Source organism: Homo sapiens, chromosome 1, assembly GCF_000001405.40.
Source record: "Homo sapiens chromosome 1, GRCh38.p14 Primary Assembly".
In the NCBI taxonomy this organism is placed as follows: domain Eukaryota; kingdom Metazoa; phylum Chordata; class Mammalia; order Primates; family Hominidae; genus Homo; species Homo sapiens.
In genome coordinates this window covers 168,717,203-168,731,137 of record NC_000001.11, presented here as the reverse complement: position 1 = coordinate 168,731,137, position 13,935 = coordinate 168,717,203, and the positions used below count along the sequence as shown (strand labels likewise).

At 43.2% G+C, this 13,935-nt stretch overlaps 1 protein-coding gene across 1 annotated transcript in view; it reads left to right on the top strand.

Annotated features, from left to right (window-relative positions):
- Positions 1-1,931: 1,931 nt before the first annotated feature.
- Positions 1,932-13,935, top strand: part of DPT (dermatopontin) — a 33,739-nt gene continuing 21,735 nt past the window's right edge. The window contains exon 1 of the mRNA NM_001937.5: positions 1,932-2,268. Within this exon, the coding sequence (NP_001928.2) occupies positions 1,964-2,268 (305 nt within the window). The 5' untranslated portion in view covers positions 1,932-1,963. The remainder of the gene's footprint in view (positions 2,269-13,935) is intronic.

The following is a 13,935-nucleotide window of genomic DNA, read 5'->3' as shown; positions in this document are numbered from 1 at the left end:
AAAGGTTTCAAAAAATTTGAAAAGCCAAATCATCAACGGATGCATGGAATGGGTAATGAGCACATGAAAAGATGCTCAAAATCATGGATCATTAGAGAAATGAAAATCACAACCACACTGAAATATCACTACAAACCTATTTGAATAGCTAAAATTTTTTAATGGCAATTTTCTGGTAGTGGTGGGCAATGGTATCACCACTTTGGAAATCAGCTAGGTAGTTTCTTGCTTTCTTTTTTTTGTTTTTTTGAGACGGAGTCTCGCTCTGTAGCCCAGGCTGGAGTGCAGTGGCACAATCTCGGCTCACTGCAAGCTCCGCTTCTCGGGTTCACGCCATTCTCCTGTCTCAGCCTCCCGAGTAGCTGGGACTACAGGCGCCCGCCACTAAGCCTGGCTAATTTTTTGTATTTTTAGTAGAGGCGGGGTTTCACCATGTTAGCCAGGATGGTCTCGATCTCCTGACCTCGTGATCCGCCCGCCTCGGCCTCCTAAAGTGCTGGGATTACAAGCATGAGCCACCACACCCGGCCTCAGTAGTTTCTTTTAAAGTTAAACATACATTACCTTGTGAACCAGCAATCTCACTCCTAGGTATTGACCCAAATGAAATAAAAATTTGTTCACACAAAAACCTATACATAGATGTTTATATCAACTTTATAATTACATTTATGTAATTCATTATATAAAATATAATGAATATAAAATTCATTACATAAAAAGTAATGAATTTTCAAAAACTGGAAACAACCCAAATGTCTTTCAACTAGTAAATGTATAAACAATCTGTGGTACATCCATGCTATGGAATATTACTCAACAATAACAAGAAACAAAATACTAACACATACAATGAGATGTTGAATTTTAAAATGGATGAACCTTAAAAGCATTATGCTAAGTGAAAGATGGACATGAAAGGCTACGTGTGGTATGATTCCATTTACTTGACATTCTGGAAAAGGCAAAACCATAGAGACAGAAAGTAAATCAGTGGTTACCAATGGCTGGGTGTTTGGGAAGATTTGACTGCAAAGGGATATAAGGGGATGTTTTGGATTGATGGAACTGTTCTAAGTCTTGATTAGGGTGCTGGCTATGTTACTGTACATTATGTATTTTAAAAGGTGAATTAATTATATGTAAATTATAACTCAATGAAAAGAAAATTCAATGTGAGGGCAAAAATACTGAAGGATAAATAGGGGGTTTATTTAGATTAAACCCATTACATTTTGAGAGCAGAGCACACTTTCTAGACTTGACTGGGTCCAATTTCAGCAGCATGGTAGAATGCTTAAGTGTAGAAATCATATCCAACTTATCTCCCCATGGGCCCATAGTACTTCCTTATGCAACTTATGAGTTCTCAGAGTAGCCCTGCAAACTGGTATACCCGCGCTTATACTCAAGGGTTAAAAAGTGTTGGATTGACAACTTAAAAAAAAAAACAGGCATTCAGCCTTACAGAAATCCTAGATGGCTCTGTTACTTCAGTCTATGATTTCGGTATTTTGAAATCACTGTCTGGGTATTTGTGTGGCCCGGAAGGCTAGTTTGGAGAACAAATACAGGGGTTTGCTAGTAGCGGGTAGGGTAGGACAGAAAGGGGTGAGGTGCTGAAAGGTGAGGGACAAATATGCTACTAATCAGTGTTTTTCAAGTGAATATTTCTACAGGGTAGAGCAGCAGTTGGCTTTTATAATCTAGATACAAAGTTGTTCTTTCTCCAGGGAGCTTCTTAGACTTACATGCTGCTGGTATATTCCTAGAATTCCACCTTAAAACAAGCTGAATGTCCTTATGGCTGACATCTCAGCATGGAAAAGTTTTGCTTAAGCAATGACACACTGCAGTTGGATCCTTCTCACCCACATCTGGAAGCCACATGTCAGCGGCAGCTATATAAAACGGTCAGACCAGCAATCTTAGAGTGACATTGTTTGCCAAAATCCCAGGCAGCATGGACCTCAGTCTTCTCTGGGTACTTCTGCCCCTAGTCACCATGGCCTGGGGCCAGTATGGCGATTATGGATACCCATACCAGCAGTATCATGACTACAGCGATGATGGGTGGGTGAATTTGAACCGGCAAGGCTTCAGCTACCAGTGTCCCCAGGGGCAGGTGATAGTGGCCGTGAGGAGCATCTTCAGCAAGAAGGAAGGTTCTGACAGACAATGGAACTACGCCTGCATGCCCACGCCACAGAGCCTCGGGGAACCCACGGAGTGCTGGTGGGAGGAGATCAACAGGGCTGGCATGGAATGGTAAGGGCCAGTCCCTGCACTGCACTGGGGCTGGGAACATCTCTGCATATCCCTCCTCCTGGGGGCTGCTAGACTCTCAAGGAATATCAGTAACCAAAGCCTGGGCAAATCCCACCCCAAACCTCACCACTGCATGCTCTGGGTGGAGCAGGGCTGCTGCTGAGCGGACTACATGACAGGACAAAAACCTGGGATGGGGAGTGTCTGTGGGAGACAGACTCCTCTGTGGCTCTGTTCCTTCCAGAAGCTGTTCTACCTACTCTCAGTTTGGGCCAGGGGCTGGTGTAGGTCGGCGAGAAGCTTGCTTACCAGACTACCAAAAGATATGTACAGAAACTGAAAGTAATAAACTTTATAGAAATTAAAACTTTCTGTGCCATCGGAATGGCATTTTTCTTTTTTAGAAATTTATTTTTACCATTTTACAAAAGTACTGGCCCACAGTAGTTTGGGAACAAGAAAAATAAACAATTGATCTCTCAGCACGGAGGGTTTGAGAACTATTGATTTAGAGCAAGTGAATGGAAAAGAGGGGACAAGGACATTTAGGCAAAAGAAAGTGGAATTAAATAGCTGTCTACTGCCTTGATTAAATGTGCTCTCTCAATTATGAGTACTGAGGTCCTTCTCTCTGCCTGAATTTAAAGTGGGTTTTATTGCTGGAAAATAGTTTACTAAAGGGTTTTGGAGAGAGGTGCTGTCTTCCCCTGACTGCATTCTGCCTTAAGCAGTGGCATGGAATTTTTTCGAGCTTGTACTTTTTTGTGGGGTGTGATTGTCTCAGCTGGGTCTCAGCCCAGGTGCTTGGTCAGGAGCTCATCCTAGTAGGCACTGACTGCTAGGCTGATTATTTACAACAGCCTAGATGGAGCCAGCACTCTAGGAGGCTTGGAGGAGAGAACGGAGGAGGCAGTCCAGGGAGGAGGAAGCCCACCTGGAGGGCTGCTGCATGTGCTATCTGTAGAGCAACCCAGATGTGTGGCAACAAGTACTTAGTGTAGTGGGGATTGGAGGGGTCAAGCACAAAATCTGGCCAGGTGTGGTGGCTCACGCCTGTAATCCCAAACACTTTGGGAGGCTGGGGAGGGAGGATCACTTGAGATCAAGAGTTCGAGACCAGCCTAGGGAACACAGCCAGACCCTATCTCTACAGAAAAAAAAAAATTAGCCCGGTGTAGTTGCATGCAGCCTGTGGTCCCAGCTACTCAGGAGGCTAAGGTAGGAGGATCACTTGAGCCCAGGGAGTCGAGGCTGCAGTGAGCCATGCTCGCACCACTGTATTCCCTCCTGGGTGGCAGAGCAAGACTCTGCCTCAAAAAAAAAAAAAAAAGAAAATAGAAAAAAGAAAAAGCATAGAACCCTGGGGGACACAACCAGTAGAGAGGTGATGATGGGAAATCCAAGAGGAAGAAACACCGATGGGTGGGGGAGCCAGGAAAGAGAGCGGGCCTTTAAGTAATGACAACAGCTACCATTTATTGAGTGCTTACCCTGAGCAGGCTCCATGCTAAGTGCTTTATGTGGATCATCTCGTGTAATGCTCAAAACAAGGGTATATCCCATTTATAGGTAGACAAACTGCAGTCTAGAGATCCAGTATTTCCTCGGCTAGAAAGCTGGGGTTTGGATCCACAGAGTCTTTGCTTCAAAGAGTTTGTACTTTGCCACAGTGACGGGCTCCTGAGAGGCTGCTGCCTCCACCCAGAGTGGGCTCCCACCCGACAGCTGACTCTGTCAGCAGAGCCAGTGCCACAGGACCAGATTCAGGGCAGTTCTTCCTCCTGGAGAGGGTGGGGACCTGCAAGACCACAGCAGAAGCCCAGCCCCAGAGGGATGATCCCTACTTGGTTACCAGGACTGTGGAGGGGCTCAGCCGGACTGTAGAAGGGGTGGGGAGAGGACTCACACAGGCAGCAGCAGGTGAGGGTGCCGGGGCTGTGGAGGCTGCTTGGACAGCCTTTGTGGGCCATTCTCATCCACCCCCATGGCCTCTGGTGAGCAGATTTAGTTATTCAAAACCCCTTCTGACAGATGCTGATTCAGAGACCAGGCTCACCTTGATTGTTGTCTCCATGACTCCTCACAGCCAGGCCCACTGCCTAATGTGGAGCATGGCAATGACCTAATTACAACTGTCCCTCCAGTCCTCACCTCTCAGGAGCACTATCGCATGGGTGCGACTCCTTTCTAACAGCCGTTTTTTGTGCCACAGTCAAGCAGCACTCAGCCATGGTTCCCCAAGCCATAGAGGAAGAGCCCTAGGCTCTGAATCAGGAGGCCTGGGTCTGGATCCTGGTTCTAATGACTTGTGGTGTGACCTTGGCCCAGACGCTCAGCCCTCCAGTCTCCCGCCTCATTTGGAAAGTGAGCAGTCAGGCTGCATGATCTCTGAAGGCTCCACAGAGCTGTGGCTCACCCCTGAAAACACTCTTGGCTTTTTCTTGCATTCTGTTGATCTTTGTGTTCATCCCTGCTAGAGAGAGAAGCCAAATGATGTTTAGTTTTAAACTTGCCAACTGTGACTGGTTTGTCATGAACTCCCAAACTATTTGAAGAAAAGCAAAAGAGGAAGAAGGTGAAATAACATGATTTTATTTGGCCCATGGGAGTCAAGGGAAAAGCTGATAGGCGAGATACCTCTTCCACCTCCTCTTACTCGGCATTTTTGGGTGTGCAGTGTCTAGTAATTTTGGTTTCCTTTCCTCCTTCCACCCTCTGTTGCCTCCTTCTCCCCGTCTACTAATCACAGGGTTGAAAACTCACAAACATGCAAAACAACTTCTTTACAATAAGATCCAGCTGCCCCAGGACTGACACGAATTACCCTGGAAGCACTTTTAAAAATGATTATGCCTTTGAGTTCAGCCTCCAGTCTCAGTGAAAAATCTGTAAGGAAAGAAATTGCTTATGGGCTGGGGAGCTATTACATCTGACGTTGGCTACAGGCTTAGTCTGTTCTCAGGGAACAGTTGTTGATGGTTTTGTGCAGTTGGGCTGCCTTGTATAACCAAATTAGCTTTCAGGTTTATTTTAAAAGAGGGGAGGAGTCTCGAATATAGGCTTGACAATAGCACATAGGATCTGCTAAAAAGAAAATCTTTCTAATCAAAGTGCCATCTTTAAAAGGTGTTGCCATCATAGCTGAGTGGTCTGTGGTGCTGCCATTGATCACAGTTTCTCTGTTGAAAATCACCTCTTCAAGTGCCGGCTTCTGAAGTTTGGATGATGGTCTCTGGCACTAACAACTACCAGGAGGCCTTACCTGGGTCCCCATGAGTGGTATTTCACCATCCCAGGGCATGCCTAGGTTGTTCTCAGGGAATCTGCTCTAACTTGGGTCAGCACAGGCTGTAGGGCACTGGGTCCTGTGTGGAATAAGATGAAGGTGAAATTTTCTAGTGAGATTGAGCTACTGTGTAGCGGAAGGAGCCCTGGGCTTGGATGCAGGAAACCTGGATTCACAGCTCCTGCTTGTATCTGTGACATTCGGTATCTCATTCTGGCAAAAAAGAAAGAGAAGAAAGAAAGAAAGAGAGAGAGAGAAGGAAGGGAGGGAGGGAGGAAGGAAGGATTGAAGGAAGGAAGGAAAGAAGGAAGGAAGAAAGGAAGGGAAAGAGAAAGGAAAGGAAAGGAAAGGAAAGGAAAGGAAAGGAATGGAAAGGAAAGAAAAGCAAAGGAAGAAAAAGGAAGGTGTGACTCCCACCTCACAAGCTGCTACTTGTGTTACTGTGATACTTGTAGGATAAAGTATAAGAAAACTCTAAAGCAAATTGAAGTCTAAAACAAATGCCTAGCACATCATGGGCAGGTAGTAAAAGTTTAGTGAATCTGAAATTGATGTGGCTGATGTTGGGCAAGCCAGCTTTCCACGGAGTCTGAGTTCAGAGGAAAAGTGGTCCATTTATTGGTATCTACTTTTTACCCCGGGCTTCAAAGAATCTCAAGGAGAAGTTTTGGAGTGGCAGTTTGTGTTAGAGCTGAGTTTATGAATTCAATGACAAGCCACAGACTGGAGAAGAGGAGAAAGAATCTATGCAACAGGGCTATGGCAGCATCGAGGTGCATTTGAAGGTGGAGAGGTTGGGTGGGAACTCCGTTTTCCATGGTCGGACTATTTCCCTAATCTAAGCAAGACCAAGCCTCAGTGTAGTTCAGGGCAGTCGTCCTGAGTCATGGTTCTGAGTATTGAGTACTCACAGGGCCCACTTCCTCGGGGATGCTTTCCAAGACCACCTCCTCTCCCCACACATCTCGCTGTCTCCACTCCCTCAGCCTGCTTTGTTTCCTACAATGCCCTTGTCACTACCTGATTGGCATTTGTTTCTTGTTTTGTCTCCCTCACTAAAATATAAGCTTCATGAACACAGGGGCTTTGTCTCATTCACCACTGTATCCCCAGTGCCTAGACAAGTGCTGGTACATAACAGGCCCTCAATACATATGCAGTGAAAGACCAAATCAGCAGTCCAAACCCCAGCCAGTGTCCCCACGGCCCTCCGCAAGGAGGCCTGCAGGTTTTCCCACAGGGGAACCATTTTGCTTATGTCTTTGATTCCCAATATTCCAGTGTCTATAGTAGGGGTTCCAACTGTATTGTTCACATCTCATTTTGATTTATTGCATTTACCAACATGCAGGATGGTCTTTCAAGATTTCTTAAGGATCGCTAAAACATGCACAGAGGATGGCTGACACACTTTGCCGCCGCAGAATGAAGTTTTTATCAGGTTTTCATTCTCTCAATAATCTTAAGGTCTCGATCAATTTCAAAAATTGAAAGTAAACTCTTTATTTCAAAAGCCATAAGGGCTAAATGCTGCACAGTAACCTATCCTGGTTTGACATTTGTGGAAGAACTGATGAAATCAGTTTGGTGTTATACCAAGGTTAATTTCTTAGCATTTCTTAGCATTCCTAGACACTCTAGAGTTATGAAAATTAACATTAGAGGAACCTGGGTGAAGAGTATACATGAATTTTGTGTGCTGTCTTTACAAGCATTCTGTAAATCTGAAATTACTTCAAAATAAAATTTAAAAAAATAAATATAAGGATGCAGCACAAATATAGTACAACAGAATCGTGGAATTCCAGCACTGGAGGGGGTCTTGGGCACAATCTAGAGCAACCTCCTTACCTCACAGAATAGGAATAAAGGCCATGAGACTGAAGCAATTAAAAACTGAATAAAAACATTGCTGTCAGGTTAGGAACTGTCATCCTCTTTTTACAAAAGTAGATATAAATATCAGTAGAAGGGGAGAGATGGGTCATGGAGCAATTCTGTTTGGAATTAGGAGAGAAATCCATAACTTTACATAAGTATAGGTTCTATGGCCCTAACCCTGATCTACGTGGTGATTTATGATTTATAGAGTATTCCTCATTTATATGTTCATTTGTTTATTCATTCACTACCAAATGCTTATTAGCACAAACTTTCCCAGGCCCCAGGAAGATGGAGATGAATAACATACAGTCTATGCCCATGAGTTATTCAAAAGCTAATATTGTTTGATCTTCACAACAGTATTGGAATCCAGGTGTTTCACACATGAGGAGGTTGCCCTTGCATGGCTAGCAGATGGCAGACGGAGGACCTGAGCCAGCCAGCCTGATTCCACAGTGCTGTGGGTGATATGAAATGCTGATGTTATTTTTGTTCCTGGATAAAGCCATAGTGAGTGCTGACCTAAAAAAGATATCAAATCCACCTAAGGATGACTTCTGAGGGCAAGAAGGCTGAGTGTGGGAGAATAGGGTTATGACAGATCTAGGATTCTTGCCAACTTTCCATCTAGGTCACTCTCCTAAGTGCTAGGAATCAATTGTCTGGGGGAACTTGAGCTCTGCAAAAATGGTTGTTGGCTGCTCTTGTAAGGATGGCAAAAGCTCCCTCCTCCCAGGAGGGGATTTGCTTCTGTCTGGGAACCTGCAGGACACAATCTTCTCAATCAATAAGAGATTTCTGCAGAGTTAAGATATCGTGTGTGTGTGTGTGTGTGTGTGTGTGTGTGTGTTTCTTTGAGGGATCTTGAAGTATTGAAAAGTTAATGAAGTTTAGAGTCAGAACAATTCTCAAAATGCAGCCCCACTGACCCCACTACTACCTTTACTCAAGTCGTCTCAACTCCGAAATACTCAGCTTTCACAACTAAAACACACCTCCCTAGAACTGTTGTTGTGAGAATTAAATAAGATAATATATGTACATTAACTTGTGTCCTTAGGGGAATTACTTACCTTCTCTAAACCTAAGTTTCCTTATACGTAAAATGGTGATCGTGGTGAGAAGCTCATTATTTGAACCCATTTTATAGGATTGTTTTGATAATTAAAATAATTAATGCACGCATAGTGCTAAGCACAATGCCTGCACATTGCAAGTCCTTGATAAAGGTTATTTATTATTACTTTATCATGACTACTCTGTGTAAACTGAGACTCATGGAGACAAGTATCACACAGTTGGTAAATTACAAAGCTGGAGTTGAAAACCAAATTGCTAGATTACAGAGCCTCTGAAATATATCATTTTGCTTTTGGAACATATAATTTAATCACAGTCTATAAATATTATGTGTACATTATAAGTGTCTTGAATATTTATTACATTTTAATAGACACGGAGATAGCATTAGATCTCTTGTTTAAAAATATTATAATTGATATTCATAAACTCACGTCAAATTTACTGTGATGCTAATGTAGCTCATGCAATTCCTGTGTGACCTGGAATTGCTCTCAGGACATAAATGCATCTCACAAGATAATCTAGATCTTCTCAGAGGCCTTAGGGGAAGCCTCTCCTGCCTGTATTTTTCCAAAAAAACCTGAGGAATTTGTATTTTTGGAGGCATTCTCGCTCTGTCCTGTGCTAGGTCTTTCTATCCAGAGATGCTGTTCTGCAGGTCATTTCTGCTTCACTGTTAAAACCTTGTAGACAGACTAGCAGACTTAAAACCTGGACATGGAGAAGACAGCAGAATTCTTACCCAGATGCAGGCAGGAAGAGAGCAGAATGTGTGCAACTTAACACTATTTAAAGAGACTGTTCATATCCCCACCATGGTGGCAGGAGGATGAGCAGTAAACGGTGCAGTGTTCAAAAACTTTGCATTGTAGCCCCATGAGGCTACTCAGTGACAGTATGTGTTAGGTGAAATGTGTAATGGTGATATCAACATGTCACAAGGAAGGAAAGTTAGTATGATTTGGAATTGTCAAGAAAGGAAGGATCTTTGAAGGAGGAGAGGCTTGGTATTGCCTTTTGTGCTCTGATATGTGCTTTCTGAGGCTCCTCTCAGTGTCTAATTGGAGAAGTTCAATCCTGACAATTTCTAATGTAGGCTCCAATATTTACTGAAAGTGATGTTTCGTGACTAGGATGTAGCCTGTCTTTCTATCAGATTACAGGTACTTTTATCATCATGGTAGTAATAACTATGACTTCCCCTGCCTTTCAATTATATACGTTGTGCCAGGTTCTATGCTACACTTGATATATAGCATCTCTTTAGTTTTTGTGTAATACTGTCAGGTTAAGAACTGTCATCCTAGTTTTACAGAAGTAGGTATAAATATCAGCAGAAGGGGAGAGATGGGTCATGGAACAATTCTGTTTGGAATTAGCAGAGAAATCCAGAACTTTGAAGGCTTCTTTTACTGGGCAAACTTGCCCCCAACTGTGTTTGTCTCTGTCCCTTGCCACTTCACTGCTCCACTGTCCCCAACCACTCTCCTATTTCTCTGCTCCTCTGTCTTTGGTACCAGTCTACTTATTTCCAGTATCTGTATTATCATAGTGTCTGCTTATCAGTTACAGTGTCTGGTAATTCTGCCTGTCCAATGTCATAGTGTTTACTTATCAGTACCAGTCTTCTGAAGAGATTCCAGACCAAGTGCAGCATCAGGTATAGAGTAAGTTCTAGTGAATATTTGTCAAAAGACTTAATGAACATTCTAAAATTCTGTGGGCCTTTTTATAAATGCCTGATAGCAACTCAAAGAATTATTCTGGGGAAAATAGAATTAACAAAAATCAAAGCTTTACTCTAAAAGAAAGAAACTCTTTTGGTACTATTTAAGACCTCATCCACCTTTGGGGCGGGAAAGAAATTTGGGAGTGTTAAGGATGCTGTGCCACATGGAGTGAGCCACTTGTCTAGATCATGGGCAAAACTTCTCATAGTCCATCTCTGCAGTGGGGTTGGAAACTGGCTAACAGCCCTTGAAACACCTGTGTGTCTGTGAAGCTGGGAAAAAAAAGACCAGCACAACCAGCCCATCTATTATCTATTTAATGAAATTTTGAGAGTTCTTGACCAAGATGGTGCTGCTTCCTTTTACCTTGTTCATCACTTGACTCAACCCCACACCACACCACCTAAAGTCCAAACTTCTTAGCAAGTCCAACTTCTAAAATTGTATAGAGGGGTTCACCAACAAAACCAGACACTCACACACCTTGCAAATGCTCTGTAATTCTGCCTGTCCAATAGCTTTGGACTTGGTAAAGAATGCAGACAACAAGAAGAAGTCCTGTCCAGCATACCAATCAGAGCTGTGGGACCATCTCGAAGAGATTTATTATATTTCTTGAGAGCTCATGAACATGAGCTTTGACCTCAGATGAATCTGAGTTGGGTCCTGGCTCTTCCAGTTACTCTCTTGGCCGAGAGTTTTGTAGGCATTATCACTGACTCCACACAGTGCCTTAGGTGAGGCTCCACAAAGCATGTAAAGGTCAGGGCTAGGACTAGAACTCATGTCTGCTGATTCCTCAACAAGGGCTCTTTCCCCTGCACCCCACTGCTGTTATGTTTTACTATTGCAGATACAGGAGAAAGTCTTCCGTTTTAGCTTTCAGGGTGATGACCCTGAGATAAATCATTTTCAGAAAGTCCACTTTCTCAGAATAGGTTCACAAATGTGTTTTCAGAGGAGGAGTAATTACCTTGTGACTTTCCTTCTAGAAAGCTTCCAGTTTCAGATGGAGCAGGGCTAACAATACTCCAGTTTCTGAAACTGAAATTGAACCTCAGCCTTCAAAGAGGTGGTAAGAAAAAAAAAAAGTATGTCTTCTCAGATGGGAAGGAGAGTCTTGTAAGTAAGGTACCAGTGCCCTCCTGCTCTAAGGAAATAGTCTTATTTCCTTAGAGCTGCGGTCATGTTATACAATTCACCAGGATATTAGCCATCGTATTGGTGACTGTTAGGAACTCCTCACTCACATCCATGAAGGGGCCTGAAACTCCCTCCAAGTAGTTTCCCTCCAAGCGGAATAGAGCATTGAGCCACTGCCCTGTTCTCCAGGCCATTCAGGAGCAACAACCAGGTGCTGTGAAGTGAGTCAGAGCATTAGTCATTTGACCGCTACCCATCTCTTTTGAAATTGAGTTTGAGTAACTTTAGCAATGCAATCCCTGACAGTTCCCCCAGTCCTGTTCCATTTAGAAGTTGCCTCTCTTCTCACCTAGCTCTGTGTTTGTAATCCTGCAGCTATGGCCAGTGTTTAGGTGAGTCTTGTTAAATAAGGAGCTTTGTTAAAAGTGAAAATGAGAGGAATGGAGGAGAGGAATGCCCAAAGCTATATTTATTTTGCCCCCTCATCATGGAGCTGCAGGGAGAGAACGGAAGCAAGAAAAGGGATTGCTCACCCAAGATCCATGTAAACTACTTGGAGGGAGTTTCAGGGCCCTTAATGGAATTGAGTGATGAGCTCTTAAAAGTCAATTCTGCCTCCAATAATGGGACATAGTCGGGTCACTCATTCGGTCCCTCATTCTTCTATTAAACATTTGCTGGACAACAATGTCAGACACTGCATGGAATACTACTTCCTGAGAGTGGTAAGGCATACTAAAGTACCTGTGCTCCAAAGTGGGTGGCTAAGACATCCAACCTCATTGAGCTTTGTTTTAGGGAAACAGCAGCTCAGGGAGGGCCTATGAATCCACCAGTGTTTTACTGATTAGAGACAGGGGAGCCAAGGGACAGCTTTTACAAAGTAGACTCATAATTACTGTGTAGACTAAACATAAGTATAATGACACTAATAAGCAATTTATTAATCCCAGGAATTTTACATGCGTTGTCTTATTTGGTCTTCACGATAACTTTAATACATATGTGCTATTATTATGCCCATTTTACAGATGAGGAAACTGAGGCTATTAGAGGGCACGAAACCCGCCCAGATGATACAGCTAAGAACAGTGGAGCCATCCAGCAGCATAGCCAATGCTCTTGGCCACTCTACTATCTGCTCCCCACAGTGTGAAAAGGTACCCCCACAAAGATCCGGCTCTGGAAGGAATGCTTTCACATACCAAACTCCTGAACAGGCTGACTCTACCAAAATGTGAAGGCAATCAAACCAAAGCCGGAGGAGGAGGGTTATGTTTGGTTATCTAACTTTCACTATATGTTCTTAGGCTCTGAGTCTGTAGGGTCCAAATAATCTTCACAGGGCAGAGTTATCTGAGGTGGTGTGTGAGAAAGTGACACACACTTCCCGTACAGGCACTGGGGCCAGCAGCCTGGCCAACAGCTGGCGGGGAATTTGTGGAACTTGGATTGCCTTCAGAACTGGTACTCCATGAAACAGTTCGGCTTATCTTCCTACATTTATTTTTACTTAGGGGAACTTACCCCCATGGGAGCTCTGTCCCCTATAGGGGTCTGAGTACAGAAGACAAGCCAAAACAATGGAACAACAACTCCGTGGAAACCACAGCCCAGCTCAGTTCTGAAAGGGCTTTGTTTTAGAGGAAGGCAGCATTTTAGTGATGGTAGGAGAACAGGTCACAGAGAGCACTAGCTTATGGCAACCTTCTCTTTTTGGACACATATGAGTTTTGCTTATGATTCTTAGAGCTTCATATTGAAATTACCTCTCACCTACTTTACTAAGAATTAGGATAGAATAGAACACCCTGGTAGATCAGCCCCTAAAGCTACCTTTCCACCATATCATGAGCCTAGTCCATTCCACTCATATAGCTTGCTGAAGTATGCCAGGCATTTACAAAGTGATTAGTATACTCCTGATGAGATGCGAGCAATGGTAGAATGAAGAAGGCTACATCAGTCATATGCAGAAAACTGAAACTGGACCCCTTCCTTACACCTTATACAAAAATTAACTCAAGATTAATTAAAGACTTAAAGGTAAAAACCCAAAACCATAAAAACCCCAGAAGAAAACCTAGACAACACCATTCAGGACACAGGCATGGACAAAGACTTCATAATAAAAAACACCAAAAGCAATTGCAACAAAAGCTAAAATTGACAAATGGGATCTAATTGAACTAAAGAGCATGTGCATACCAAAAGGAACTATCATCAGAGTGAACAGGCAACCTACTGAATGGGAGAATATTTTTGCAAACTACCCATCTGACAAAGGTCTAACATCCAGAATCTACAAGGAAATTAAACAAATTTACAAGAAAAGAAGAAACAATCCCATCAAAAAGTGGACAAAGTATATGACCAGACACTTCTCAAAAGAAGACATTTATGTGGCCAACAAACATATGAAAAAAAGCTCAACCTCACTGATCATTAGAGAAATGCAAATCAAAACCACAATAAGATACCATCTCATGCCAGTCAAAATGGTGTTTATTAAAAAGCCAAGAACCAACAGATGCTGGCGAG